General features: G+C 41.5%; 2 pseudogenes, 3 gene segments (V, D, J or C) and 1 further gene; all 6 read right to left on the reverse strand.

Annotated features, from left to right (window-relative positions):
- Positions 1–27,690, reverse strand: part of IGH (immunoglobulin heavy locus) — a 1,293,408-nt gene that overhangs the window by 517,964 nt on the left and 747,754 nt on the right.
- On the reverse strand, positions 3,572–4,113 carry IGHV5-10-1 (immunoglobulin heavy variable 5-10-1). The segment is given in 2 exon segments: positions 3,572–3,878; positions 4,064–4,113. Coding segments are annotated over 2 exon segments (357 nt in total), but the record flags the coding sequence as incomplete, so codon positions are not given.
- IGHV3-11 (immunoglobulin heavy variable 3-11) lies at positions 12,235–12,684 on the reverse strand. The segment is given in 2 exon segments: positions 12,235–12,541; positions 12,639–12,684. Coding segments are annotated over 2 exon segments (353 nt in total), but the record flags the coding sequence as incomplete, so codon positions are not given.
- Positions 15,889–16,075, reverse strand: IGHVIII-11-1 (immunoglobulin heavy variable (III)-11-1 (pseudogene); annotated as a pseudogene). The gene is given in 1 exon segment: positions 15,889–16,075. A coding segment is annotated over 1 exon segment (187 nt).
- Positions 18,020–18,309, reverse strand: IGHV1-12 (immunoglobulin heavy variable 1-12 (pseudogene); annotated as a pseudogene). Its single transcript is given in 2 exon segments — positions 18,020–18,178; positions 18,264–18,309. Coding segments are annotated over 2 exon segments (205 nt in total).
- IGHV3-13 (immunoglobulin heavy variable 3-13) lies at positions 25,140–25,592 on the reverse strand. The segment is given in 2 exon segments: positions 25,140–25,443; positions 25,547–25,592. Coding segments are annotated over 2 exon segments (350 nt in total), but the record flags the coding sequence as incomplete, so codon positions are not given.

Genomic DNA, 27,690 nt, shown 5'->3' on the forward strand with positions numbered 1-27,690 from the left:
CCCAGCCTTGACAGGGGTGGCTGGAGGAGCTTTTAGTGAGTCACACTGAGGTCTTATCACGGGGAAGGGTTGGAGCAACCTCAGCTCTCTTGCCAGATCAGTAGGAAATCTATCCACTTTTCAGACAGTATTCCAGCTATTCAGATAAGACAGGCATGTCTTTTCATCTGTACAAATGTTGATGTGCCGAATAGAGGGGAATTGTGACTCTGTGTCTCTTGCAAGCCAGAACGTGGAGAGTGCGCCTTCTGAGGAATGCAGTCACCATGATGTATTCCAGAAAGGCTGTCTATAAGCTGGTGTTGGCAAATATCTGTAAGTGATCCGGTGATGTGAACTGTCCTCACATTTTTCAACAGTGAGCAGCAGAACCGGGTCTGATGGGAGTGGCAGGGGAGTGAAGGAGACTCTGTGAAATTCCTTGGATATTGATGGCCTTCTTATGCTGGCTTTCTTGAATGCTGGTTACAGTAGTGATGAACTGGTCACATGGACAGACTCGGGACCCCCGTTCATCCAGAGTGGTGCAGACCATGGTGACAGCTGAGATCGCACAGTCATTTTCTCCTTCTGGGATGCAGTGTTACTCTACCAGGAGATACTGTAATGCATGGTTGGTTGGCCTCCAGCTAAGAGGTGGTGTTTGTGAAAGAGCACCAGCTGCATTATTAGCAGTGGGATTTTTGCAAGCCTTATGTTGCCCAGGAATGGGGGCTACTATGGATTCTCAGGCAGTGGGTGTGGCTATGTAGCTCCCAAAAGATGCTGTCCTTTGTGTTAAATTGCCAGGGCAGGTGGCTGCACAAAGCAAGGTGAGGGCTAGGTCAGGTGGGTTTCTGCTCTGAGTCTCTGTGTGCAGGGCAAGCAGCAGCCCCTGTGGGTGTGGGGGACAGGGGTGGTTCTCAGGCCACTGGGTTGATGTTCCAGAGGTCAGCACATCTGCTTCTGCTGCATAGAAGTTTGTGCAGGGAGTGGTGAGAGCCAGGTGACGGTAAGCCCCATACAGTTCCCACACACTTGGTGAGGCAGAGCCACTCCTGTGGTGTTCCATTGGCAGCAGTGAGATGAGTTCCAGTCAGCCTGTGATCAATATCTGCAAATGCCAGGAGTTATAAGCTGTCCCCATAGAGACTGCAGCCATGGGTTTCATGCCATGCTCCTTCCTGTCTGCTGCAAAGCCAGGCACCAGCTCCTGCACCCATGGCTCCTGAACTTGCAGCCCACTTTTCACTCTTCACTTGTCAGACTCTGGCCAAGGGAGTTCGTCCCCTCTAGGTTATATCACACACCCCTGTTGAGAGCTTCTTTCAACCTGTGACCCCTGCCTGAAATTTTTGGCAGTTCTTCCCAGGGTCCTCTGTGAAGAACCTTAAGAAATGGCAGCTCTCAGACCGCACTGAGATCTGAGAGTTTATGCAAGGGTCTTCCTGCTGTTCCTACTTTTATATTCCACAACCCTGCACAGTGGGTCCTTGCACTGGGTGAGGTTGGGGCCTTCTCCTTTGGCCTGGACTTTCAGGATCCCAGGTGTGGATGTGTATCCCAGAGGCAAACTCTTCCCTCAAACTCTGGGGACTCGCAGCCCTTCACCTGACTCACAGTGTAGGCTGCAGCTTCCTGCTTTTTTCGGAAAGTTTGTAGATTATTTCAGTGTTTTTGTTCAGTTCCTGCATTGCTTCTTGAAAATAAATCCACAATGTTCATCTCTCCATATCAGTTTGTCCTTCCAAGAGGAAGAGGTATACTAGCAATGCCTCTAACCTGCCATCTTGAAATGTAAGTTTGATTTTGTATTCTGCAACTTTATTGAATCTCTTCATTACATCCAGCCTTTTTTGGTGGAGTCTTTAGGGCTTTGCATAAAGAAGAGCATATAATATGTAAAACATATATTTAAAATTTATTCATTACTATATGGATGACTTCTATTTTTTTCTTCTGGCCTATTTTGTCTAGACCACCCAGTGCTGTGTTTAATAATATTGGTGATAGTGAGCATCTTGTCTAGTTTCTAGTCTTAGAGGAAAATAAAATTTTCATCATTGAGGATAATGTTAGATGTGCACTTCTGATATGTGGTGTTTATTATGTTGAGCTGTATATCTTTTATGCATAATATGTTCAGATTTTTTATAATGAGAGTGTGGTGGATTTTGTCAGAGGCTCTTTCTGCATCTATTGACATGGACATATGGTGCATATGGTTTTAGTCCTTCAATATTTTCATTTGATATATCACATTTATTTCTGCAGGTTGAAACTTCATTGCATCCTAGAGATAAACCACACCTGACCATAGTGAATTATACTGTCAATGTGCTGTTGAATTTTGTTTGTCATCACTCTTGAGAGTTTTTGAAACTATGATAATCAGGGATATTAGCCTGTAGTTTCATTTACTTGTAGTGTCTTTCCCTTGCTTTGGAAATAGGGCCTTCCAAAATAAGTTTGAATGTATTTCTTCCTCTTTATTTTGTTGGAAATTTGAGTAGTGATTCTAGTTATTTTGTTTTAATTTTTGATAAAATTCAGTAGTGGAGCCATGAAATTTTTGACTTTTCTTTGATTTGAGATGTTTGAAAAATCACTGACTCAATCTCTTTACTCATTGGTCTGTTCAGATTTTTTTGTTGTTGTTGTTGAGATGGAGTCTCACTCTGTTTCCCAGTCTGGAGTGCAGTGGCTCAATTTCAGCTTACTGCAACCTCTGCCTCTCAGGTTCAAGCCATTCTCCTGCCTCAGCATCCCGAGTGGCTGGGACTACAGGTGAACACAACCACACCCAGCTAATTTTTATATTTTTAGTAGAGACTTGGTGTCACCATGTCGGCCAGGCTGATCTTGAACTCCTGACCACAGATTCACATAGAACTCCTGATCTACCTGCTTCAGCCTCCAAAACTGCTGGGATTACAGGCATGACCCACCACAACCAGCCCAGATTTTTTATTTCTTAATGGTTCAGTTTTGATAGGTTGTATGTTTTTTAAAATTTATTTATTTTAATTTATCTAATTTTTATGAGAGAAGTATTTATTATACCCAAGAACTTATGAATTGGCACAAAGATGAATTATTCAGTACATATTATTGAAAGGAAAACAACAACAAAAACAACAGAACCTAGTAATAGTTCACAAAGGGATCAAATGATTTTGAAAAATTAAGTAGAAAATAATAGATGTAGGGAGCAAGAGAAGATAGGAGGGAGGAAAGCATGCCAGCAATGATTAACTGTGTAGACTTTTCACTAATTAAAAGACTGTCATGCTTAAGAGGTGCATATTAGACAGCTTTTTTATTTTAACCATGTAATATACACCATGAACAACCTTGTAGAACAAGAGCCCCCTCAGAGAATCCACCTCCCAGGAGCAGGTGCCCCATCTAGTTGCCTTAGGGACTGGGAACCCTCCCACGTTGTTCTCTGGTTCTCACTCCTCAGGACACAGCCAGTGTTTCCTCCCTGGATGAATAGAGAGGCCCCTGGGGAGTGTGTCTCTGGCAGCTTCCTCTGCACCTGTGCTGTGGAGGGTTTTAGACGGGCTCAGTGCTGGTTTCTCTCACTGTGTGTCTCGCACAGTAATACATGGCGGTGTCCGAGGCCTTCAGGCTGCTCCACTGCAGGTAGGCAGTGCTGATGGACTTGTCAGCTGAGATGGTGACGTGGCCTTGGAAGGACGGGCTGTAGTTGGTATAAGAGTCACTAGGATCAATCCTCCCCATCCACTCCAGGCCTTTCCCGGGCATCTGGCGCACCCAGCTGATCCAGTAGCTGGTAAAGCTGTATCCAGAACCCTTACAGGAGATCCTCAGAGACTCCCCGGGCTTTTTCACCTCTGCTCCGGACTGCACCAGCTGCACTTCGGCACAGACTCCTGTATGGAAGACACAAAATTTGAATCAGGAGTTGCTTTCCACCCGTTCTCCTCTGTGACCTCAAGCCCTCGGCAGGACTGACCTTGGAGAACAGCCAGGAGGAGGGCGAGGATGGCGGTTGACCCCATCCTGGAGGAGGACAGAAAAGGAAGCCCTGAGATCCCAGCTGGGTGGTGAAGGAGACTCACTGTGGAGGGGAGCCCTGGGTTTAAGTGGAGAGGCCCCCACTTGCATTTGCATAGTTGCCGCCCTGACCTGAAGGGAAGAGTCTACAGGGTTTATAACCCAGAACCTCAGTTGCAGAGAAAAGGCTGAACTGAGCCTCCTGGGAGGGGCAGAATAGGTCTCAATAATTCCTTACAACCTCTTCTTGCCCCTCCCCACTCTTGTCTGTGGTCCTGCAAGACCCAAACCAGGGCATCCCTCCTTCCACCCTTCTCTGTGACCCTGTGAAAGTTGACAAATCTAGATAAAATCATGTCTGTTAAAAAAATGAGAAATAGAGCCAGGAAAGGCCGTGAACAGAAAATTCAAATGCACTTATGCCTGATAACAAGAACTACCACAAAAAACTACTCTTTATTCCATGGCAATTTCCCATGAATGTGACTATGGCCTGGGCACCCAGAAAGGGCAGGACCACCCCAGGCCTTTAACAACCCTCAATTTGATTAACCTGCCAGACCTTCACCCATGCAAAATCAAGGACAAATGTTTCCTGGCCATTTCATCTTCTAGATTTTACACTCTGCCAATTCAACCTAAATAGGAAATATTTGTTTAGGTCTCTGTATTGCTGATGGACCTGAAGGGATCCCCATTGCTGCACCCAACTCCTGGTAGTGCTGTTTTAATTCCACCCCAGCACAATCTGTTTAGTTCTTTTATTCTTATTTTTTTTATTTTATGATATCCACATTGCTCGGAGGGGGCTTTTTACTGTCCCCTGTATTTGCCCCATTTTCCTGTGAACCACTCTCATTTCCTTAACATCTAAAAGATCCAAATGAAAAGCCAAGGCAACAGAAACTACACAGTTTCTAAAATATTTGCCAGATTACCCACAGGAATTGTATACCTGGGGTGCAGAAGCAAAATGACTTCTCTTTATCACAGCACAGGCTATGACCTGGGTAAGGTGCATGCTAAGCAATGACCATTACCATCAACATAAACACACAACACAGGCTATGACCTAGGTAATTTGCATGCTATGCAATGACTGTCAGCATCAACATAAACACACAGCACAGGCTATGACCTGGGTAAGGTGCATGCTAAGCAGTGACTGTCAGCATCAACATAAACACACAGCAGCAGGGCTTCCGTGTGCAGCATTAGCCTCCCTATCTGGAGAGCCCACTTTGCATTTCAAAGAGAGGAAGGGCAGTCTCATTCTCAGGGTAGAGAAATTTTACACAATCTGGAATCCAGTGCACCAGGAAAGCTGACCCATCAGGAACATCTTATTTGAGGTTGCAATCAGCTAGAGCCATCTGTGATGTGTCTGTTGTGAGCTGTGGGTCCAGCATCCTCCCAAACATACTCCTCCTTTCTGCAGCACATGAAGCCAAAGACAAGCTGCTACATCAGTCACTCTCATAGTCCATTGGCTAATATTGTTCACAATCCGATGATATCAGTTAATGATATCAATCATATCACAGAATGATGCCACTTTCCACACTGTCCTCCTTGTTCTAGTTGTCTAGTGGATTCTCTGCCCCAGCCCAGCCCCTGGGCTACCTTCTGTGTGGCTGTTGTGTATTGTGTGTTGTTTCTGGACAACTGTCCCCTTTGGTGGTGAATGGGAGTCTAGTAGCCTCAGCTCATAGGGCACAGTGCAAGGCTGGATGTGCATCTTTTTACTATTATTTTAGCTATCACAGATATGACTTGAATATTTGGGTTGTTCCTCATTATTTTTACTTTTTGTTATTCAGGGAACAACTCCTAGGGAGCTGTGTCTGCCATTTCCAAATTCCATTGATTACTTTCACTTCCTCCTCTTTACTGGAGCACACACGCCATCTCCTGCCATGTGATTCTGCAGACATCCAGGTATTGAATGTCTTTTATCCCACACTTTCTCATCCTTTGATACTATAAACAATGCTCTAGCCATGTGTCAGTAGTCAGGGTCTTTCTAGCAATTTCCACCTCTGATGTAATTGTGTTGAGCATCCCAAGACCATCCTCAGGCCACATAATAGAAGTAAAGGACTCAAGACGAGCTGTTATTCTCATGGGTGCAGCTTTATTATTGCAAATGAATATGAATTAAAATGAACAAAGGCAGCAAGGGGAAGGCCCTGAGAATCCAGGAACAAGCTCTCAGATGTTCTTTCCCTGGGGAGTCTCTTGTCCCCAGTTCTCCCAGCAGTGATGCATGACAACATGTGTGAAGCATTGTCCACCAGGGAAGCTCACCTGAGTGCTGGTGCCCAGTGCTGTTTATTGGGGCCCATCACAGATGTGTGTGGCACCTGTACAACTGACCTCCAGTGCTCAGACGCCGGCCTCTTGAGCAATAATAGGCATTCACCATAAGTCATTATGAAAACACCTAGTATAGTGTGCACCCAGGCTACACACAGAGAGACACAGACAAACACAAACAAAAATACATTTTAGCTAATAATAATAGTAATAGAGATAAGAGGAATGTTTTGGAAGTGAGTGCTATGGGTATGACCTTGATTGTGGTGACAGCTTTGCAGATGTATACTTCAAACTCAATGAATTAAGTATGTTAAATAATCTATACTTTTACATATATAAACCTTACTTTAATAAAGTGGTTTAAAAATACTACCGGGAGGTCTATGCCCAAAAAACAGATATCATCTCCCAGGAGCTGAATATGGACCTGGCTTGAGAAAGCACTTTTTCAGTAATGTTCAGGGTTTCCACAACCCAAGCCTGCTCGGTAAACCCCATCCTGTACACAAGTCCAGGTGAGATGGAAACAGGCTGTTGGAATCAAAGGCAAGGCTCAGAAGAAAAGAGAGAGGAAGTGGTGGACAAGGTATGACCCCATGTAGGGTCAGTGTGGATGGGAGGCACCACTGAGAGCCTGTGGATGGAGAAGGATGTGGACCAGGGACAGCAGGAAAACAAGGCAAGGGGGGTTCTTCCTGAGCCAAACCAGATGTTTCACGGAGGCTGTGATCAGGGGCCATGCACAGGCACAGGTGGGTGCCATGGAGTAGGGGAGCCACTGGGGTATAGACCCAGGACAGAGCATAAGAAATTCAGACATTCCCAAGGCAGCAGGCACAGAAATAATGACTGACAAGCCTCTATCTTGGGCTCCCATCCATATATCAAAGATAAAGTTAACTGATTTTTCCACCTGGGAAGAAATGACTGAATCTCTGAGTGAGGAAGGACATGAGTGGTGCAGCCAGGGGAAGCAATGCTGGACCTGCCAGCAACCCTCCTCCCCTCACACTGCCCTGCATGTCCTCCCATCCCCAAAGCATGGAGGTTCTCATCCTTGTCCAGTGGTGGGAGCCACAGTCAGTTCCTAGAACCCTCAGGGGGCTTCCTGACATGATCAGCTGAGTCTAACAAAAACATGGCATTTACGATCAAATTCTCTATCTACATGTCACCAATGTGTTTATGAGGCTTTAGAGTAAATGAAATAAGTAAGTGAAAAATGGACTTTACAAGCAATAGAAAAATCAACAAATCAAAGAGATTTTTTCTAAAAAAATAGACAAATTCTTAGCTCAATTAACTAAGAGAAAAAGAGAGAATCCTTTAATAGCTAAAATCAGAAATAATTCAGAGAGCATAAGAATTGATAAAACTGAAGTTTAGAAGCAATTAGAGATGATTGCTCTGACATTGTTCAAAGTTGTCTCAATCCTTCAGGTAGTAATGGCATTTCTTGTCTCAGAACCCAAGAAGAGTCTTGAAACACACAGTTATTGGTACTCACAGATTCTGGACAAAATGTTGACATCCCAAAATACACCAGTATAGAAAAAAAATAAGAATCTGCTTCTATCCAGTTTGTAAGTGTTCAAGACCCATTCAGGAGATTCTGACATTACATTTATGCAAATATATGGTAACAATTTTGTCTCTCCAAACTTATACTCCAATAATAATAAGTAATAAGTGACAATGATTAGCATTGTATTATTATTTTTCTCTATAATGATGGTAATTTTTGAGGCGTGATAACCTAAGTGTCCTAATTCCGAACCCACAATTAGAACTGAGCAGCAATCACTGGCAGCAGAAGTCCCCCACATGGAGACACACCTGACTCAATGAAGCTGCACTTAGGGGTCTCTGCAAGCTCCAAGGTGTGGAGAAGCAGCTCCCACCTCAGACAAAGTTGGATGAATCTCTGCTCTTCCTCTGAGGAAGGTGAGGCTTAGTGTGTGGAAAGGACCAAATTTCTACTCAAGACATATGCTCCTAAATGAAAACCAAAGAATGTGATAACCATGTGATAACCATCAATGATAGACTGGATAAAGAAAATGTGGCATATATACACCATGGAATTCTATGCAGCCACAAAAAAGAATGATGTCATGTCCTTTGCAGGGACATGGATGAAGCTGGAAATCATCATCCTCAACAAACTAACACAGGAACAGAAAACCAAACACCGCATGTTTTCACTCAAAAGTGGGAGTTGAACAATGAGAACACATGGACACAGGGAGGGGAACGTCACACACTAGGATGCATCAGGGGTGGGAGGAAGGGGGAGGGAGAGCATTAGGACAAATACCTAATGCCTGAGGCGCTTCAAACATAGATGACTGGTTGATATGTGCAGCAAACCGCCACGGCACATGTATACTTATGTAACAAACCTGCACGTTCAGCACATGTATCCCAGAACTTAAAGTAAAATTTAAAATATAAATAAATAATAATCAAAAATAAAAAAATAAAGAAATACATACTTCATATTTTCTCAATAAAAATGAGACAACATAGGAAAACCTACACTAATATATTTGTAACAGCTTTGCCTATAATATTCATAAAATGGAAACAAATTTAAAGTACATCGACAAGAAAATAAATCAAAATATTCTCATTTATTTACTTAATGGACTGACTCAGATATAAAATCTTTCTCCTTCCTCTCCCTGTCTCCATATATACATGAAAACTTTGAGGTTTCATATCAGAGTCAGTCCATGAATTAAATAAATGACAATATGTTGATCTAATTTTACACATTAAATAGCATGAATTAATCTCAAAAATAGCAAAGCTCCTTTCCAAAAAAAGGTCTATAATGTTTGATTCCATTTATATAAAGTTCAAAACAGAAAAAAATGGATCTGTAGTGTGAGAAATCAAAACATTTCCCCATGCAGGAGCTGACCTCAGGCACAGGGAAAGACCCGCGATGTGGGAATGGACTTGCTCTTCAGCTACCTTAGGTGCTGGGGACAACAAGGGTATTCACATTTGCCAGAAACTCTCTAGTGATACATTCCAGATCTATGCATATTTTCTTATATGTAAATTTTATCTCATAAAAACAAAAAAAGTGTAGAATAGTTTAAAATTCAGTAATAATAAAATTAATATTAAAACCCTATCCAAAATATGAACATTATTATATGAATTAATACAATGCATTCAAGTATATGTACTAAAATTAAATCCCAGAAATCAAAAAGACAAGGGTAACGTCTTAAACTTAATAATTAATAAGCATGCATCTCATAGAGAAGAAAAAAAGTCAAGATATGAGGAACATCTATTCCTTTTTTCCAATCAAATGTAATTTAATTATTTATACAGCATTTTAACCTGTCATTAGCATAAATTACTAATATTTTGTGTGATATTACAACTGACAACAACTTTTAAAGAAGAAAAGATGCTTGAGAGCACGTGAACTAAATTGAATGTATTCTCAAAGTTGGTCCAACTATTACACGTCAAAGTTCTAATAATACCCTGGTTTGAGTGGGACTTTGAAAAAATTAATTTTAAGAGATAAATTTGAAAAATAAACTGATAATCTATAATAAAGAGAAATCAGCATTCCATATCAGAAAAAAATGAAAATTTGCAATACATATAAAGTCCTGAGAAGAAACCTTGAAGCACAGAAAGGGTCTCATGCACAGTAGGTTGTAATACGTCTATTGGTAAAATTATCACCTTTATGTTGTTTTGAAAAATTAAAGCTAAGCATAATGAAATTAATGTGTTTGTGCTCATCTGGTATAACAACATGTTGAGAAAATGGAAGAGCCCTGTAAGCCTGAGGAGGTGGCTTAATCCAAGGAGAGGCATCAGATTTAAAAATATATAATTAAAATTTCATTGAAAATTGAGAAATTTTGGTTGTATATATTTATGGGGCACAAAGGTATGTTATGGTTTGTGAATGCAATACGGAATAATTGAATCGAGTTAATTGACATATATATTACCTCAAATCATCAAATCCTTATCTTTTTTTGTGACAAGAACATTTGTAATTTTTTCTTGACTATTTTAAAATGACGAATACACTATGTTAAGGCTTAGAAATAGACATCCATTTATGCAAACTATAGAGAATGATCGAAATCAATTATAGATTACTCTAATTTATATTTAGCTCATCATTAAGTTTAATTCTTTAGAAAATATTTTAGAATTATTTTATTATAATGTTAAATATAAATGGCTACACATGTATGTATAGGCTTGTGTATTTACACATATGTCTGCAGATGTAAATTAATGTCCCCATAGGTATGTAGTTGCTGGTATGGGCAGACATTAATAAAACTAGGCCAGGTGTGGTGGCTCATGCCTGTAATCCCAGCACTTTGGGAGGCCGAGGTGTGCAGATCACGAGGTCAGGAAATCGAGACCACACTGGCCCACATGGTGAAACCCTGTCGATACTAAAAATACAAAAATTAGCCAGGCATGGTGGCGTGCACCTGTAATCCCAGTTTCTCGGGAGGCTGAGGCAGGAGAACTGCTTGAACCTGGGAGGTGGAAGAGGTTGCAGTGAGCCGAGATCGTGCTGCTGCACTCTCCAGGCTGGCAACAGAGCAAGACTCCGTCTCAAAGAATATTTATAATAGGAGCATGACTATATTGCCAAATATAAAATAAAATATCATAATGGCAACAATCAATTTTACCTGTCACCTTGACTAGACCACAGTCTCATCTACTCATTCACACACTAGCTTAGGTGTTGCTCCCATGGCATAACACAGGTGTTAGTGGAGCCTGCCATTATTTTTCCTAAGTCAGGAAGAGTGTTCTAGATAATCTAGGTGGGACTGATTCAAAGAGAGCATAACAGAAGACGATGGGACTCCATGGTGGACGGCAGATGCAGATCTTCCCAGGAATTCCAGCTGTCTTTCCTGATGACGAGTAGTATTGACCTTAGACTGCCTAGGCAGATTCTACAATTATCGTTACCCAGAGCTCACAGCACAATGGAGTGCCCATCCCCAGCTCTTCTCAAAGTCACAGGTGAGAGTCCAAACTCTGAGACAGTGTGAGAAGCACAAGATCAGCTCTACATCAATATCCTATTGGAGAAAACTAGTATTATTCCCTTCATGGCTAATGTCCACTTCATTTTCCAAATGCCTCCATGCACAGAAGACAAGAGTGTCCGGACAATGGTGAGTGAGAAAGTCCCCGTAGCCTACCCAGGTCCTGCAGACCTGAGCCCTGGGATTTTGACTACAGAAAACACATCGTCTGTTTTCAGGGAAGAGAAGAAGAAAGCGAACTGTGAGAATCAAACCTACAGAGAAGGAAATGGATTAGCAGAAAGAGGGTCAACTGAATCAGTCTGAGTTTACAAGACGAGGGGGGATAGCTGTGAAAACCATCAGGTTTTAAGGACTCTGACCCTGGGCGAGCCTCTCTCTTGGCTCCCGTCAGAGCTCAAGGCCTGTTCTAATCAGAGATTCCCATGGAGGTCTCTGCCCTGAGTCTAACTGGAAAACACTCTCCAGGTTTCCCTGGGATTCCTCAGGACTCTTATCCTGGTAACCATGAAAGGATTATTTCTGCCCCCAAAGTGACACCCTGGCTTCTGTGGAGCTGAGGATATGTACTCCTGTTGCAAAAAAACAAAGAAACAAAAAGGACAAAAAAAGTATTGCATTTAGAGACATCAAATGTTAGTACAGAATTGTAAATCTGGAGAAGTTCCTGGGGAAATTTGACAATGAGGCAGCCCCAGGCCATGACAGGAAGCCAGCCCTCAGCAGCACCTGCACCTGCCCTGGAGACAGCCCCGTGCACAGTGTCCCGGGCGCCCCCTGGTGGTCCTGGGGACCCCTGCAGGGAGGTTTGTGTCTGGGCTCACACTGACCTCCCCTCACTGTGTCTCTCGCACAGTAATACACAGCCGTGTCCTCGGCTCTCAGGCTGTTCATTTGCAGATACAGTGAGTTCTTGGCGTTGTCTCTGGAGATGGTGAATCGGCCCTTCACAGAGTCTGCGTAGTTTGTGTAACTACTACTACTACTAATGTATGAAACCCACTCCAGCCCCTTCCCTGGAGCCTGGCGGATCCAGCTCATGTAGTAGTCACTGAAGGTGAATCCAGAGGCTGCACAGGAGAGTCTCAGGGACCCTCCAGGCTTGACCAAGCCTCCCCCAGACTCCACCAGCTGCACCTGACACTGGACACCTGCAAACACAGAGACAACCTGGTCAGAAACTGCCACATATATTCACTGCTTATCTCACTCACGTCCACTCAATGTCTCTAGTTCTCCATAAATCACCTTTTATAATAGCAACAAGGAAAACCCAGCTCAGCCCAAACTCCATGGTGAGTCCTCTGTGTTCAGTGCTGATCACCGAATGGAAACTCCTGGGAATTCTGGGGCTGGGGCTCTTCTCCCAGAGCTGCAGGGTCTGGGCTCGGCTGGTTTTTATCAGCAGAGGGAGGGCCCTATTTGCATGTCTCCTACTATATAGCAAGCTCTAGTGGGACGCTGGAGGAGAGGGCAGTGCCCAGAGCAGATGAGAGGGTCCCGGAAAACACTGGAGGTAATCCTATCTCTCAGGAAAATATAACTTCAGATTATGTGATTGTGACTTGATGATCAATTAGCAGTCATCATCTTATTTAATGTTTACATATTTGCAGAATATATTCAGTGCAAGTGTCAATGTTACATTTTTAGAGAAGATGAATTACATACATAACAGAGCAGTTGTGCAATGTGTCCAATATCACACATCTGGACAGCGTCAGCCCTATTATCCGTGCCTGTGCCTCTAAACACTGGAGGAGACTGCTCCCCTGAGACAGCTCCAGGGCAGTGTGGGACATGCCTAGTGTGATTTGCAGGGTATCCCACCTGTCATAACGACTTTATGTGACTTTGCTTTTTCTAGTATTTACCTGAAATATGCAATCAGTGTTCACATGTGTGTATTTTCAGGAGTCCGTGATTATTCAAGTGTCAATATTCATCTCTTTCTTGCTCTTCCTCAGCCAATATACTCATTTTTGTTACTGCTTTATTCAAAAATTCAATCAATAGTGAATTCAAATTTATAGTGTACGATATGGAAAATGTTGGTATATGTGTGCAGCCTTTGAATCAGCACTTCAATCGTGCTATTAGCAATTAAATTAACCTCCAAATTTTTTTCTCTCACTTCTCTGTAATTTTATTTCACCATCTTGTTACCTCACCACACTTTTCTCAGAAAAATTCAGATCTTCTCCATGTTAATTTAGAATAGTTGCATTTTCTACAATTTATACAAAAGAAATCACAGGAGATTTACTGTGAATTCTTTAGCTTCCTTCACTCAGCACAATTATTTGATAATGTCCTCACATTCTTATGTGACTGAGGCATGCCTTGATTTCAATTGTTCATTGTATTTCAGTACATGAATATTTCTCAAATAGTTTAACAATGCACCAAATAGTGGATATTTGATATTTTGTCTTAGTTTCCGAATTTTATTTAGAAAGCAGATACTAAGCACGGGAATGTAAAAAAAAAAATGAGAAAATGATCTTCTTCTGACCTCATTAACAAGAAATTTGAAGAACTACAAAAAATGAACCCTTCAACATATCTGAGTTGATGTTGCAGAGAAAAAAACCCTGAAATCTGAGAAAATGGGGAGCCTGCAGAGAAAACTAGGTCCATTTATTAGAGTACCTGGGGCAGGTGCCACTCATTGTATGGTATTGAAGATAGGAAAAAGCTAACCTGGAAATGTTTCATGAGTTGTTGAGGATGTGTGTGCTAACGCTGTGAGAGTGTGAAACTACTGGCACTTGCGGGCTTTTCCTACAGAATTGGGGAAATCCCCAGACAACTCAGCCACCTGCTGTCCTGTGGTGTTGACTGGGGAGGAAGAACAGTAGCTCCGTTCAATGCTGAATCCCTCTTCACGATATGTGGGAGACATTTATTAAATCTTGTGTCCTTCAGGCACTGGTAGAATCAACTAGAACAGAAGGAAACAGAGGACACCAAGGAGACTCTACCCAGAAACACCTCCCGTCTCTTTCCTGAGGAATGAAACCCTGAGTCTGTGGAGTAAGGACAGTGGGTCAGAAGCTGAGGACACTGATGGAAGACCACTGTGGCTAGAAAGAGACACTCTGACTTGGGGAAGGGAAGGAACAGGAACGCTTGGAAGACCATGCTTCAGAGCCACTCTCACCACCCATAGCTAAGAAGGATGCTTGGTCAGAAGGTTGGAGAACATCCCCCTGTGTCCAAGCCCCTTCACCCCACAAACAATCACCAAGTAAAAGTGTCAGCAGGATGCACCTGCCACAGATGAAAGAGACAGGCTCTCTCTGGGGAGAAAGAAATGGGAAGAGCCAAACCGGGACACAAAAGTGGGTATCACTGGAGGAACCTGAACTTTTTGTGAACAGGAGAAGCTGACTTCAACTCTGATAGCCGTGGCAACCATACACTTGAAACCCAACCCTGACTAGGTTCATAGAAATGTGGTTAATAAAGGCCCAGCAGAATGTAATGTGTGATCATCTCCATGAACAAAATAATAAACACAAGAAAATAAATTACAAGTGAAATGCAAACTGGAATTCTACGTGCATTACATTTTCATTAAAAGTGAAAGGCAAATAAAATTCTGTCATTACAAAAAGATCTTGAGACAATTTATTGTCAGCACATTCATGCTTCAGTGCACATTTTAACAAACTTTCTCTGCTAGTAGCCGTGTGATATACATTCAAAACATAAATCTATACGAAGAAATTAAGACTGTACAAAATGGGAAAATCAAGATGAAGTGCAGTTTTTATCTTTGTAATTGCTATATTATATAACTATGAAAGGAATAAAAAATTTATATATTATGTTTTATAGTATATGTAAGTGCAAACTGGGAATAAACAAGAAAGAGCAGTGAGAAGGAGGAATTCAAAGCACACAGTTACACTGTCTCTGTTCTTCATATCAAGGCCATCACAGTATCTGCATTAGAATCCAATTATATACAATTCTTATAGAATCTAATTATATACAATTCTTATTGTAAAACTTATGGTAACCAATATAATATTTATAAAAGTGAATTAGATTATATGTTAGTAGAGAAATAAACATCATTGTGAAATGCTAATTTAAACAATATAACAGAAAAATAATATTAGTTTAAAAATAGAGCTTATTATAGTTGATTTTAAAAAGCAAGCCCCAACTAGAAGCTATGTATTAGAAAATTACTGTACGTATTCACAAATGTAAAAACTAAAGATGAGAAAACATGGATTACAAAAATATGAACCAAAATAAATCTATAGTAGCTGTGTAAAGTTAAGAAAAAATAGACATCAAAAAAGACTTTTAGGACTTAACAGGGATATTACACAGGATAAAGTTACCAGTTTTTTAAAAGATGCCAAAAAAAGACTTAACAAGTGTATAATAGATGAAGAATGCACCATTCGTTGTGATTTACAGAACAAACGTGATAAAGGAAGTAAAGATCTCAGTGAGACCGTGCACGTAAGGGTGCATGTAAGAACTTCCTCTTGAATTTCTCCCTGTTGCTGCCCACGCCAACTCTGGTCCTGGAGCCTGCTGGACCAAGCTTATGCTGCAATCAGTGAAGGTGATCCAGAGTCTTTGCAGGAGTGGCTGAGTGAACCGCTGGGCTGTACAATCTTTCTCCCTCTGACTCCATCAGTAAACTTCACACAGGACTTCTGCAAACACAGAGAGAGCAGACTGAGAGCAGCCCCATGAGCAGCAGCCACAGCTGGACCTGATTCACAAGGGCCACTAATACGAGGGTGATGAGAAGGGAAGCCCAGATCAGTGCAGACCCCACAGTGTGGACACTGAGGAAGGGAAGAGACATGGGGTGGCTCCTCGCCCGGGCCTGAGGGAACAGGGGATGAGCTGCCTTTCTTGAGGAGGGGAGGGGACATATTTCCATGTCTTTCTTTTTGTGGTCTTGGGTGCACCGCTCAGCATTGCTCATCCATCCTCTGTGTCTCCGTTTCAGGGAGGGCAGGATCAGAGGATTCCTGGGTCTGGATGCACAGGGTTAATCTGCCCATTACTCTTTCTTACTCTCTAGTGCGGACACTGTTCAGGTATCTTCATAGTAGAAAACATTATCAACAAATACATCCAGTAAGAACTTAAAAATACATTTCCAGGGAAAACGGACATCTCGCTGTAATCAGTACATTTAGAGCTGGAAACCACTGTTCCTGACCATGAGGCAAAGTTGAGTTACAATGAAAAAAAAATGCAGATCTACACCTTGTTAGGGAGGGGGTTGATAATTACCATTATCTTGAGATCACTTTTCGCAACATAGTTCAACATTGGATATATGGACATGACATGATTCATATAAACATGCACATTTGCTAGAACAGAAGGTTGAGAGGTCCCAGAAGTACTTATACCACATTAACAACACACATACCCATTATCACAATATTTTATTTTAACACTACTCTTTAAAATCAGAAACAAGCAATCTTTATATAAATGGCTAATTCTATGTATGAAAAAGGTGATAAAGAAACAAGCTTAGAATCTATCGTAATATCAGGAAACAGGGAAGTGTTCAAAAACAAAAGGATGAGCTTTGCTGTAAGGATGCAGGATCCAAACTAAATGAGGTCCCAGCACCTAATAAAGCTGTGGAGATTTGAACAAGAAAATGAATAATGTAGCATGGATCTTCTTCAGAGTATGAAATAGATGTCCATAAACCAATACGGATGTTAATAGATGATTAAATAAAGAAATGATGGGAAGAAGAACACATCTCCTCATGGAAGTATTCCAAATATCTCAGGTGGATAGTCCTCCAATCAATAGGTGAAGGCTAAGCACTCATGAGTTGATTGTGGCCTGAGATTAGCAACATGGAATAAATAATCACTATTAGTGTATTTTATAATGAGACTTCAGATATAATGCCAAATACATGATCTATGAATGAATAATTTTTTATGTTTTTTGTCTAAATCTGTGCACACACACACACACAGACACACAGACACACATATATTTTTTGAAATACCCACTGATAAGAGAGAAAAAGACAACCACAGACTGGGAGAAAATACTTCCAAGTCATCTATTTGTTAAATCAATTCTTTGGATTTGTTAAGTGACTTTTATAATCAATATGCAAGTAAACTTACAACTAATGAAAAGAAAACAATGCAGATAAAAATGAACCACATATCAGGAAAGGCATCCCAGCAAAAATTATATAAAAATTGTTTAATACGAATTTTTTATTTGGGACATGTGCATTTAAATAAAAATTAGATGCCATTACTCACCTATCAGCATGGCTAAAACTCACAATTCTCATGATGATAAATGGTAACATGAATGTGGAAAAACAAGAAATGTCATGCATTGATGGTGGGCATTCAAAACGTTACATGCACAAAATGAGATTTTTTGATATTTTTTAAATAGAGATAAAAGTAGAGTTAAAATGTGAATTTGTGCTTGTGTTCTGAAATATTTACAACATTGATTCAGAAATTGATGTTTACAAAGATTGATTCAGAGGAAGTTCTGTGTCAGATTTGTTAATATGATTCATTCTACAATCCCTGAAATTTGCTTACAGAATAAATGTTGTATGAAAAATCTCTCAAATAACTAAAATCCTGTCCATTCAAGCCCTTGTCCAGGGGCCTGTCATACCCAGTGCAAGTAGCAGTAGGTGAAGGTGTATCCAGAAGCCTTGCAGGAGACCTTCACTGAGGCCCCAGGCTTCTTCACCTCAGCCCCAGATTGCACCAGCTGCACCTGGGAGTGGGCACCTGTGGGGAGGACACAGGAGTGGATGAAAGCCCCCTTGACTGGACTCAATCCCCTCCTCATTACTTGGACCTGGGAACTGCTTACCTGTGGCTGCTGCCACCAAGAAGAGGATCTTGCAGGTCCAGCCCATGAGGAGATGTGCTCTCAGGGGATTCTCTCAGGTGATTCTCTCAGGGCACAGAACATATTTACCTCAGTGGATATCAGTATATTTGCATATTCATAAGACAAAGCCTTTCTTAGCTCAAAGCCCAATCCATGATAAGAAAGGGAAGATAAATGACACATCAGCCTAACAAGAGTGAGATGCAGACGGTCGAAGCCCTAATCCTGCTTGAGGAAATGCATGCCCTGCTCCATTTACAAACATTTGTGGACAGACGTCCTTTCACTGAAGAATAAGCCCATATAGAACAGGCTCCTCACTGTGAGCCTACATTTGATTAGCATAGAGACCACCTGGATCATTTTTGGAACCATCACTCTCCATCACACTGAGCAGGTGCCTTGGTCTTTTCCTGGACCCATCAGCCACCAGCACAGCTCATTGGTGACTCTGAGAAAGTGATGCTTATGTCCCACATGAGTGTCCAGGAGGGACCTCTGAGATCTACTGGGTGCTCCTGAGACACTGTCTCCAGCACCTGCCTCATGTCCTGATCCCCCAGGGTCTTCAATTCTATTGAACACTCTTGATTTACAGATTTGCCCTGTGATGCATAATTAGAGCTGATTTTCTCATCTCACAGACAATGGGAATCAGAAGATAAAGCAGGAGTTTGGAGTCCATTATGAACTCTCTACTCCCAAAGTAATTGTCAAGGAATTTGTGTTTAGAACAATTTTGGGTTATTTTGAACTCCATTTATTAGTATTTTGTCAAGTATTTACATACTTTCAGTTCATATCCACAGACCCTCACCTTTCCATATTGATTTCTGACTCACTTGGTCTGTGCACCTGCCACACTCTCAGATCCACCACTGCCCTGTCACTCACACAATGTAAGCAACATTACTTAACACTGAAATCTGAATTTCTTATTCATAGGAATGTAGTTTCTTCAACTAATCTGTACCCATAGAATTAGTAAAAACATGCCTATCCTTCATATTCTCACTATTAAGATATTATAGTTCTAGAAACCCACTTTAAAAAATAGTTCCCAGTGCCTTAAGTTATATGAATGGTTTTGATGTGATAGAATATTTAAAGCACATCAGCGACTTTTTGAACAGTTATTTTAGATTGTTTTTTCCTGACAAACGAAAACCCAGGCACTGAGAGGAAACCTCCTCCCCAGCTGTGCACCTGCTCCAGGGCTGGAACCTGCGCTTGGTGGCTCCCAAGTGCCCCCTTCCACAGAAGCTCTTGCCTTGCAATGAGGTTTCTGTCGGGGCTCACAAATATTTTCCTTCAGAGTCTCTAGCCCAGCATGAAGTGGCTGTGTCCTGGTTTAGAATTCTCCATCAGTGACACCACATGCTGCTGACACCATGTCTTTTAACAATTGATTAGCCTTACTAAACCTACAGAGGGAGACCCACAGACAAGATTCTGTGACACAGAAGGGACCCCCTTTTCTGAAGCTTCACATTTCCTGAGTCAGTGGACACACAATGAACACAAAAACTTGAAGGATTTGGGGAGTGCCTAGTTTCTTCGCTGGGCTCTTGCAGTTGAATGTTGCACCTGAGAATATCTGCAGGTACAGATAAATTCAGAATAAAGACACCTTTGTATATGCTATTCCAATAACACATATTCTCCTTTCTTACTATTTTCTAGCCTATAAAAAGTGCCTCCTACACACACACTAGGCCTAGGTTTATGGCTTTTTTTCACTTAGCGATCTGAGGCAAACAGAATACAAGTGGAGACTTGGGAAGTGCATGCATTTTTTTTCTCAGCTAGGAACCCTGCAAATGCCCCATGATAAAAGAATCTGAGGTCAATGGATTTGCCAAGACCTTGTCTTCAAAAAATTTATGTCAGAGGCTTCAGATTTTCCTACTGTCCTTGTCTTATTCTCTGCCATTGTCTTTCAGTTTCCCTATGTTCTCCTCCTCACATAGAGTCTGTGCATTTCCACACTTTCATCTTTAACCCAGATTATACTGGTGAGAAAACAAAGTGTGCATCCTGGAAGTATTATATGTTCTTACAATTGATTCTTAATAATTCAGTCATCCTTTCTTTCTCTGGGTTGTGACCTATACGCAGAGTCTCCAGAAATGAAACTGTTGCTTTCCCTTTTCTGGCTATAACATTATAGGATTATTTCTCTATTGGCTAATTTTATCCACTTTCATGATAAAGGAAGGCTGCTGGGAGGGTCTGTAATGGAGATGGACTACCTTACCCAACACAGATAAGGTTCTAGATATGTCTTTCCCCTGGATGGTCTATCCGGAGAAATGTGCATGTGTATTTCTCAGAGATTAGATATTTGGATGATTTATCCAGGAAAGGATCTATGTTGATTTTCACTCAAAGAACCTGGAGGTTCCTGGAGCAAATAAGCACAAGAGTGTGAGGTGTGGGGCCTCTAAGATCTCTCACCCTCACACTAGTTCCGACATGCCCTTTATGTTTACATAGTTCAGATTTACATATAACATACCACACAGCCAGGCTCATCTGAATTGCCACATGCTCATTTAAACTCACTGGAGCAGCAGCTGAGTGTAATCATCACATTGAACTCAGAGAAACCTGGGTCCAATACACGGTTTATTGTAGCTCAGAGAAGCATCACTGACTCCCTTGAGTGGACGTTTCTTCCCTGAAACAGCTTCACTACCAAGTATACTAAAGAGATGCTATGGAGCCGCTGTGGGGTTGGATTTCTTCCTGTCAGCCTGTCATGCAGGGTGTTTGGAATGATGTAGACCTTTAAACTTAGATGCTAATCTTTCCCAGTCTTGTTGAAATGGCTGGCCACCCCCAGTCCTGTTTCTCCCCTCCACTCACCTGAATGTCTCCAAAAACCCCATGAACCTAAAGACTCTCTTTTTCATGGATGACTCTGAGGATTCTCAATCTGGTCAGTGCCACAGTCAGAGGCAGCTAATGGAGGATTCTCAGTCCACTGATATGTTGAGCCCATAACATAGGACACATATCCAAGAGTGGACAATTCATGTCAGTGCCAATCAACATTTAATTCAAGGGGCATGATTTTCAGTGCATTGAAGTTTAAAAGCTTCATAATTCTTAATAGAGGCACAAACTGAATGGTTTGCTGAAGAAGTGAGCTCATGGTTAGAAGAAAGCTGACTGCACCCAGGAAGAGTCTCTTTAAGTAAAACACCTGAAACGTGATGTCCTGAAACCTTGTGAAAATTCATTTCCTTGAGTAAAAAAACAGGAAAGCTATTCTCAAATCATTGGAAGAAAACTTATCAGAAATTTTATCAACACAGCACTCGAATTCCAGTAAGTCAATCCTTGGGTTTATGTTTCACAACTCAAGAAGCAATAAAGAAATCTACATAATTGGAAGGCTGCTCCAACAGAGGGAATTTTGTCCTATTTAATTAATAGAATAGTATTCATTCAAAGACACTCTCCTGTGGAATCTATAACTTAAACAGATCTCTGCAACCTGGAAAAATTTTCTCACTTATTTTTCTCTAGACACCCATAAATGCAAAAACACATTTTGTGTGTATGTGCATGAGTGATCTATAGAAATACTTTGCATATTAATGAAAGTTTGGAAAAATGATAACTTCATCACTTATTGTGAACTCCCACTTCACTGGTTTCCGAAATTCTCTGCCTGTGTCATGGGACAATGGGTGCCTCTGAGAATATGCTGATTTTCAGACTGAACATGTTCTCCACTCCTCACTTGACTTCATGGTTTCTTGCTGACACTGATGTCTCTATGAATGAAAACCCAACACTGATATCCAGCAGATTTTCCTCTTATGAGATTCATATTCTCTCTATCTCTTTCTTTCTCTGCATGTCTCTAACTCCCTGTTTTTCTGTGCCATTACTATTTATGGCTGAATCATCCTGAATCCTGCCGACATACTCCATCTCACATTCTGCAAATATTCTGCCTCAAAGACAATTAGGGGCAAACTCATCCTTGCCCAAGGTGGGAAAACTTTCTGGACTTCCACTAGATTTATTAGAGCCTCATATGAGAACCATGATCAAACATTATTTGCTTTTGGATTATACCTCAAATCTAAAACTGTTCTTCGTAGCGGCTATGACATTCTACATTCCCATCATTACCATTATGCAAAACAGTGTGGTGGCTTCTAAATAAATTAAAACTGAAATACCATATGACCAGCGATCCAGCTTATGGAAATACACCTAAATGGGATGAAATTACCACCCTGTGAAGATACCTGCTCTCCTGTGCTTACTGCAGCGCTATTCACAACAGCCAAGATATGGAAACTAAGTGTCTGTCGATGGACAAATGGATAAAGACAATGTGGTATGTGTACACAATATAACATTATTCTGCCTTATAAAATAAAGAGATGCTGCCATTTTCCACAAGACAAACGGATTCCCACCACCACTAGCAATGCATTGTATCCATTGCAGCCCCTCCCTGAGAGCTGGCAGATCCAGGTCCAGTAGTAAGGACTGGTTGTGATGGAGTGGCCAGAAATGGTGTAGGTGAAGCAGAGGGTAAGTGTGTGCTCTTCAGGTCCAGGGCTGACTCCTGCAGCTGCTCCTGGGACAGGGCATGTGAATACATGGGGAATCAGTCCCCGTCAGTCACATGTACCTACACTCACCCCATAGACCCACATCTGACATCTGAGACACTCACCCTGGGGGAGCCATCACCAGGCACAGGAGAAGACACAGTAATGCCATCTTCTTCATGAACACAACTCTGCATTCCCCAGATGCCTTATCCCTGTCTGAGGGGAGAGCTGTTAGCTTCACAGTCCAAAAGCATTTTATACCCTGGAGCCTAAAGGATATTTTGGATGTGGCAAAGCCTTGTACTTATAAGAGAGAGGGACATAGGTCTGACTCCCTTTGGATTTGAATATGTTTTATTGTTGTCTGTCTATTTTCAGGTTGACATGAAGCACTTCCTTGCCAAAAACTACAGTCGTGACATTTAATAAAATTTGCTTTATTCCTATTTTCCCGCCTGTGACATTTGAACTTCTGTATCAAGTGAGCAATGTGCATACCTTACAGGAGAAATTACAAAATAACTCTCTAAGTCATCAGTATCACACGAATGCTACCCTGTCCTTACTGCCAAATATCTTCTGGAAAGATTTAAGTAAAAATAAATGATAAGTTGCATTCTTAAATTAAAAGTAGCATAACGTTCAGAAACTCATGAAATCCCTTTGCCAAAGGTACTCCCACTAGAACTTACAGCCCAAGGTCTCCTTCCTCAAGGACACAGACATTCTCACCCTATGACTTGATTCATCAAAAGCCCATGTATTTCCCATTTTACCTTCAGCATTATACTCTGATTCATCACATGCCAATACAGCGAAGTATTTTAGGGGACCGATGTGCTATGCAGAAATATTCAACAGGATGTTAAAAATGTCCTAAATAGTTTCTTTACTGCCATCAGCTTGTAAATTATTTATTTTCCAAGAGACATCGGAGAAAAACAGTCACAAATATTGTAAAAGGGGCTAATTACCATTAACAACAAATGCAGCAGTGGCTCCAGGATGTCAATCCATAGGTTTATGAGTGAAAATGAGGTGGGTTGCATAAATTGTTTTGAGAGGATTTTCCTTGCTTGTAGAGTCAATACCAAGGTTGGCATCAGTATAGGGTTAAACCGTGATTTGCTGGGAAGATGTCCTTGTAGAAGTGATTTTTATAAGGTCATGGTGGCTTCTATCAAAGGTTGTGGTTAAGCAGAATCCATTTATGGTCGATCTTGTTATCAGGAGTATGTGCATGGGAAACCTCCTTCATGGTCATTCCTAGTTCCATTTGTCAGGGTTTTAACACAAGTGGATCTATTTTGATTCTGACAACTTTCACACCCTCTTTCTAACACTACTGGTGAGGAAGGTGACTCACTCTGTGCTACTTTGCACAGCACAGGATAAATTTCACATCCACATCCCATTTTGTCCACACAAGCTCATCCCCTTCACTACTGTTGGCCACTTCCATTCGCAGGTGAGTCTCCACGTGACACACTGGAGGGTGCTGAGCAATGGGAGAGAGGAAAGTCCCATCAGCCTCTTCCACGTGGCTGCAGGAGCCACAGCCTGAGCCCCACCTGAGCTGCAGGGAATGGGCTTGAGACCTGGAGCTTTGGCAGCAAGAGCCACATCCCCACTTTACAGGGAGCAGGAACACTACAAGGAAAAGCAAGAACAACAACAACAAATAAAAAGAAATAGAATGGGCTAAGAGCAAAAGGGGCCCCAGATCAGTGCTGACACTAAGTTGTATACTTTAGTGTCAGGAGAAGGGTCAGAAGTGAAACCTGTGAAGTTCTACATGACACTGATCCTTGCCCAGACTCTCTATTGGCTGCGATCACAATTCCTAAAGACCGTCCTAGTCAGGGAAACTCACTGAGGTTTCTGTCCTGAGTCTGAGTGGAGAAGACCCACCAGGTACCCCTGAGTTTCCTCAATACTCTGATCCTGGTGACAATGGTTGAGGGCTTTTCATCTCTGTAAGCATCAGTCTGTGTTTCGTGCATAAGAGAATAGGTTTTCATATTAAAATAATCATTTTAAAAATATGTAGGGATGGCATTGGTAAGCACAGAATTCTGAACTTAGAGAGGTTCCCTAGAGAAACTCTAAAAAGATGAAGTCCCACATCCTGACAGGAAACCAGCCTCCATCTGCACCTGCCTCTGGGGATGACTCTGATCAGTGGGTCCTGTGCGCCCCCTGCAGCTGATTTCCCCCAGGCATTCTGCAGGGAGGTTTGTGTCTGGGCTCATACTGACTTCCCCTCACTGTGTCTCTTGCACAGTAATACACAGCCGTGTCCCCGGCTCTCAGGCTGTTCATTTGAAGATACAAGGAGTTCTTGGCATTTTCTCTGGAGATGGTGAATCGGCCCTTCACGGAGCCTGGATAGTATGGGTCACCAGCAGTACCAATAGCTGAGACCCACTCCAGACCTTTTCCTGTAGCTTGGCGGACCCAGTGCATGTCGTAGCTACTGAAGGTGAATCCAGAGGCTGCACAGGAGAGTCTCAGGGACCCCCCAGGCTGTACCAAGCCTCCCCCAGACTCCACCAGCTGCACCTCACACTGGACACCTGCAAACACAGAGACACAAAAGTCAGAAATTGCCACACATACCCACTGTTTCTCTCATTCATGCCCATTCACACTCAATATCTCTAGTTCTCCATGAATCACCTTCTAATATAGCAACAAGGAAAACCCAGCTCAGCCCCAACTCCATGGTGAGTCCTGTGTGTTCAGTCCTGATCACTGAATACAAACACTTGGGAATCCCAAGGCTGGGGCTCCACTCCCAGAGCTGCAGGGTCAGGGCTGGGCTGGTTTTCATCAGGAGAGGGAGTCAACTATTTGCATGTCTGTTACTATATAGCAAGCTCTGGGGTGGGACATCTGAGGTGAAGGCAGGGCGCAGAGTAGATGAGAGCGTCCTGGGGGATTTTGATGACAATGATTGTATTTGGGAAAATGCTGCCTTATTTTGAAATTGTTCTGCGATAAACATTTAACAACTATCATATTTTTAATTTTTTTACCTATGTGTATAGATGATGTTATTTAGGAGTCAGTGGTTTCTTCATGTACAGATGTAAAAGTGAACCCACACATGGAGGGGCTATGTACGTGTCTCAGGGCTTATATCTGGCATGAGTGAGTCCTAGTACCTGGGCCTATGCGCCTCACAGCTGGCCTCAGTTGCTCTGAACCAACTACAGGACAGAGATAAACGGCCTAGTGTGGTTTGCAGAATCCACTTCCTGCCACGACAACCTGTGTGATTTTGCTGCATTTACCTAAAAATACAGAGACAACTAGGCGTCAGGCAGATACATTTTTGGTGTATCTGACATTTAATGTATTTATTTGTTCCTTCTTATCATCCCTTTTTTGTCTAAAATTTCACTTGTTTACTTGTAATAAATTTTATGAGTTTTAATTGACAGATGATAAAATTCACATATTTAACCTGTACAATAGTAAACTTTGATAAAGAAAGTCTCTATTTTCAAGAAGGTGACAAGTCAACTCACCTCAGAATTCCTCTTGCTCTTTTATAGATATATTTTTGTTTTTCTCCTTTTCTTCTACCATTTCTTTATAAAAGTACTGATGTTTTCATATTTCTTTAGACTAGTTTTTATTCTCTAGAATTTATAAGAATGAAATAATATAGTATGTACTCATCTATTTGGCTTATTTTTCTCAATAGAAATACTGAGAATTAAACCTTTTATGTTGTATTGTTTATTTTTTATAAATAATAGGTAGCATTTCAGCAAACAAATGTAGCATAATTTGTTTTTCTAAGTTGCTAATTGGTATCTGAACTTTTCATTACTTTGGGTCTTACTAATAAATCTGCTACTCAATTTGGTAATGTACATAGATGATAAATTATATATAAAATATATTATTTTTGCAACAACAATAACACATAAACAAGAGAATGCGCTATTTGGCAAATTTTCTTTAGCATGTCAAATAATTGAAGTTATGAAATAAAAACAAACCTGTAAACCAAAGAGTATCTGAGACTAATCTCAATAGATTTAGGAAGTTCAATTTCCAAGATTAAGGACATGCCTGTGACACAGCCTCAGGGAGTGCTGACGACATGTGCCCAAGCTTGTGGGCACAGCTTGGTTTTATACAATTTAGGGAGACATGAGACATTAATCAATATATATATATCAGATGTACATTGATTTAGTTCAGAAAGGCAGGACAACTTGAAGTGGGGAGAGGGCTTCTAGATCATAGGTAGGTTTGAGAGAAATGGTTGCATTATTTGAGTTTCTGATTAGCCTTTAACTGAATGCACAATTTACAGGAATAGTCACGTAGGCCTTAGTCTGACTTAGTGAAACAGTAGAGCACAGGGAGCAATCAGGTATGCGTTTGACTTACATGAGCAGAGAAATGACTCTCTCTGTCCTGGGTCCACAAGGATTTTACTTGTGGTCAAATTTTGAAGGAGGTCTGTAGCTTTTAAAAACCTTAGTAGCTCTCATTTTAGGGAAAGAATGGAGGTGGGTTTGCCCCAAACAATTTTCAGCTTGACTTCCCTTTGGCTTAGTGATATGGGGGTCCCAAAGGTTTATTTTCCTTTCAGGAACATGGAAATCTTGGAAGAAATGAGTTCTTGTAGAGAGAAATGAAGCCATAGTGTTAGCTAAACTGAGGCCGAGGCTGCCACATGAAATATAGCCCATTACAAGACAAAGCTACAAACGTGTTGGATTGCTTAAATTCCAGTGTGGTAAACGTGTTGTCATGTGAAATTCTCAGGAACCACATACTGAAGGGCACTGATAAAGTGA

This window comes from Homo sapiens, chromosome 14 (genome assembly GCF_000001405.40).
Source record: "Homo sapiens chromosome 14, GRCh38.p14 Primary Assembly".
Lineage (NCBI taxonomy): Eukaryota > Metazoa > Chordata > Mammalia > Primates > Hominidae > Homo > Homo sapiens.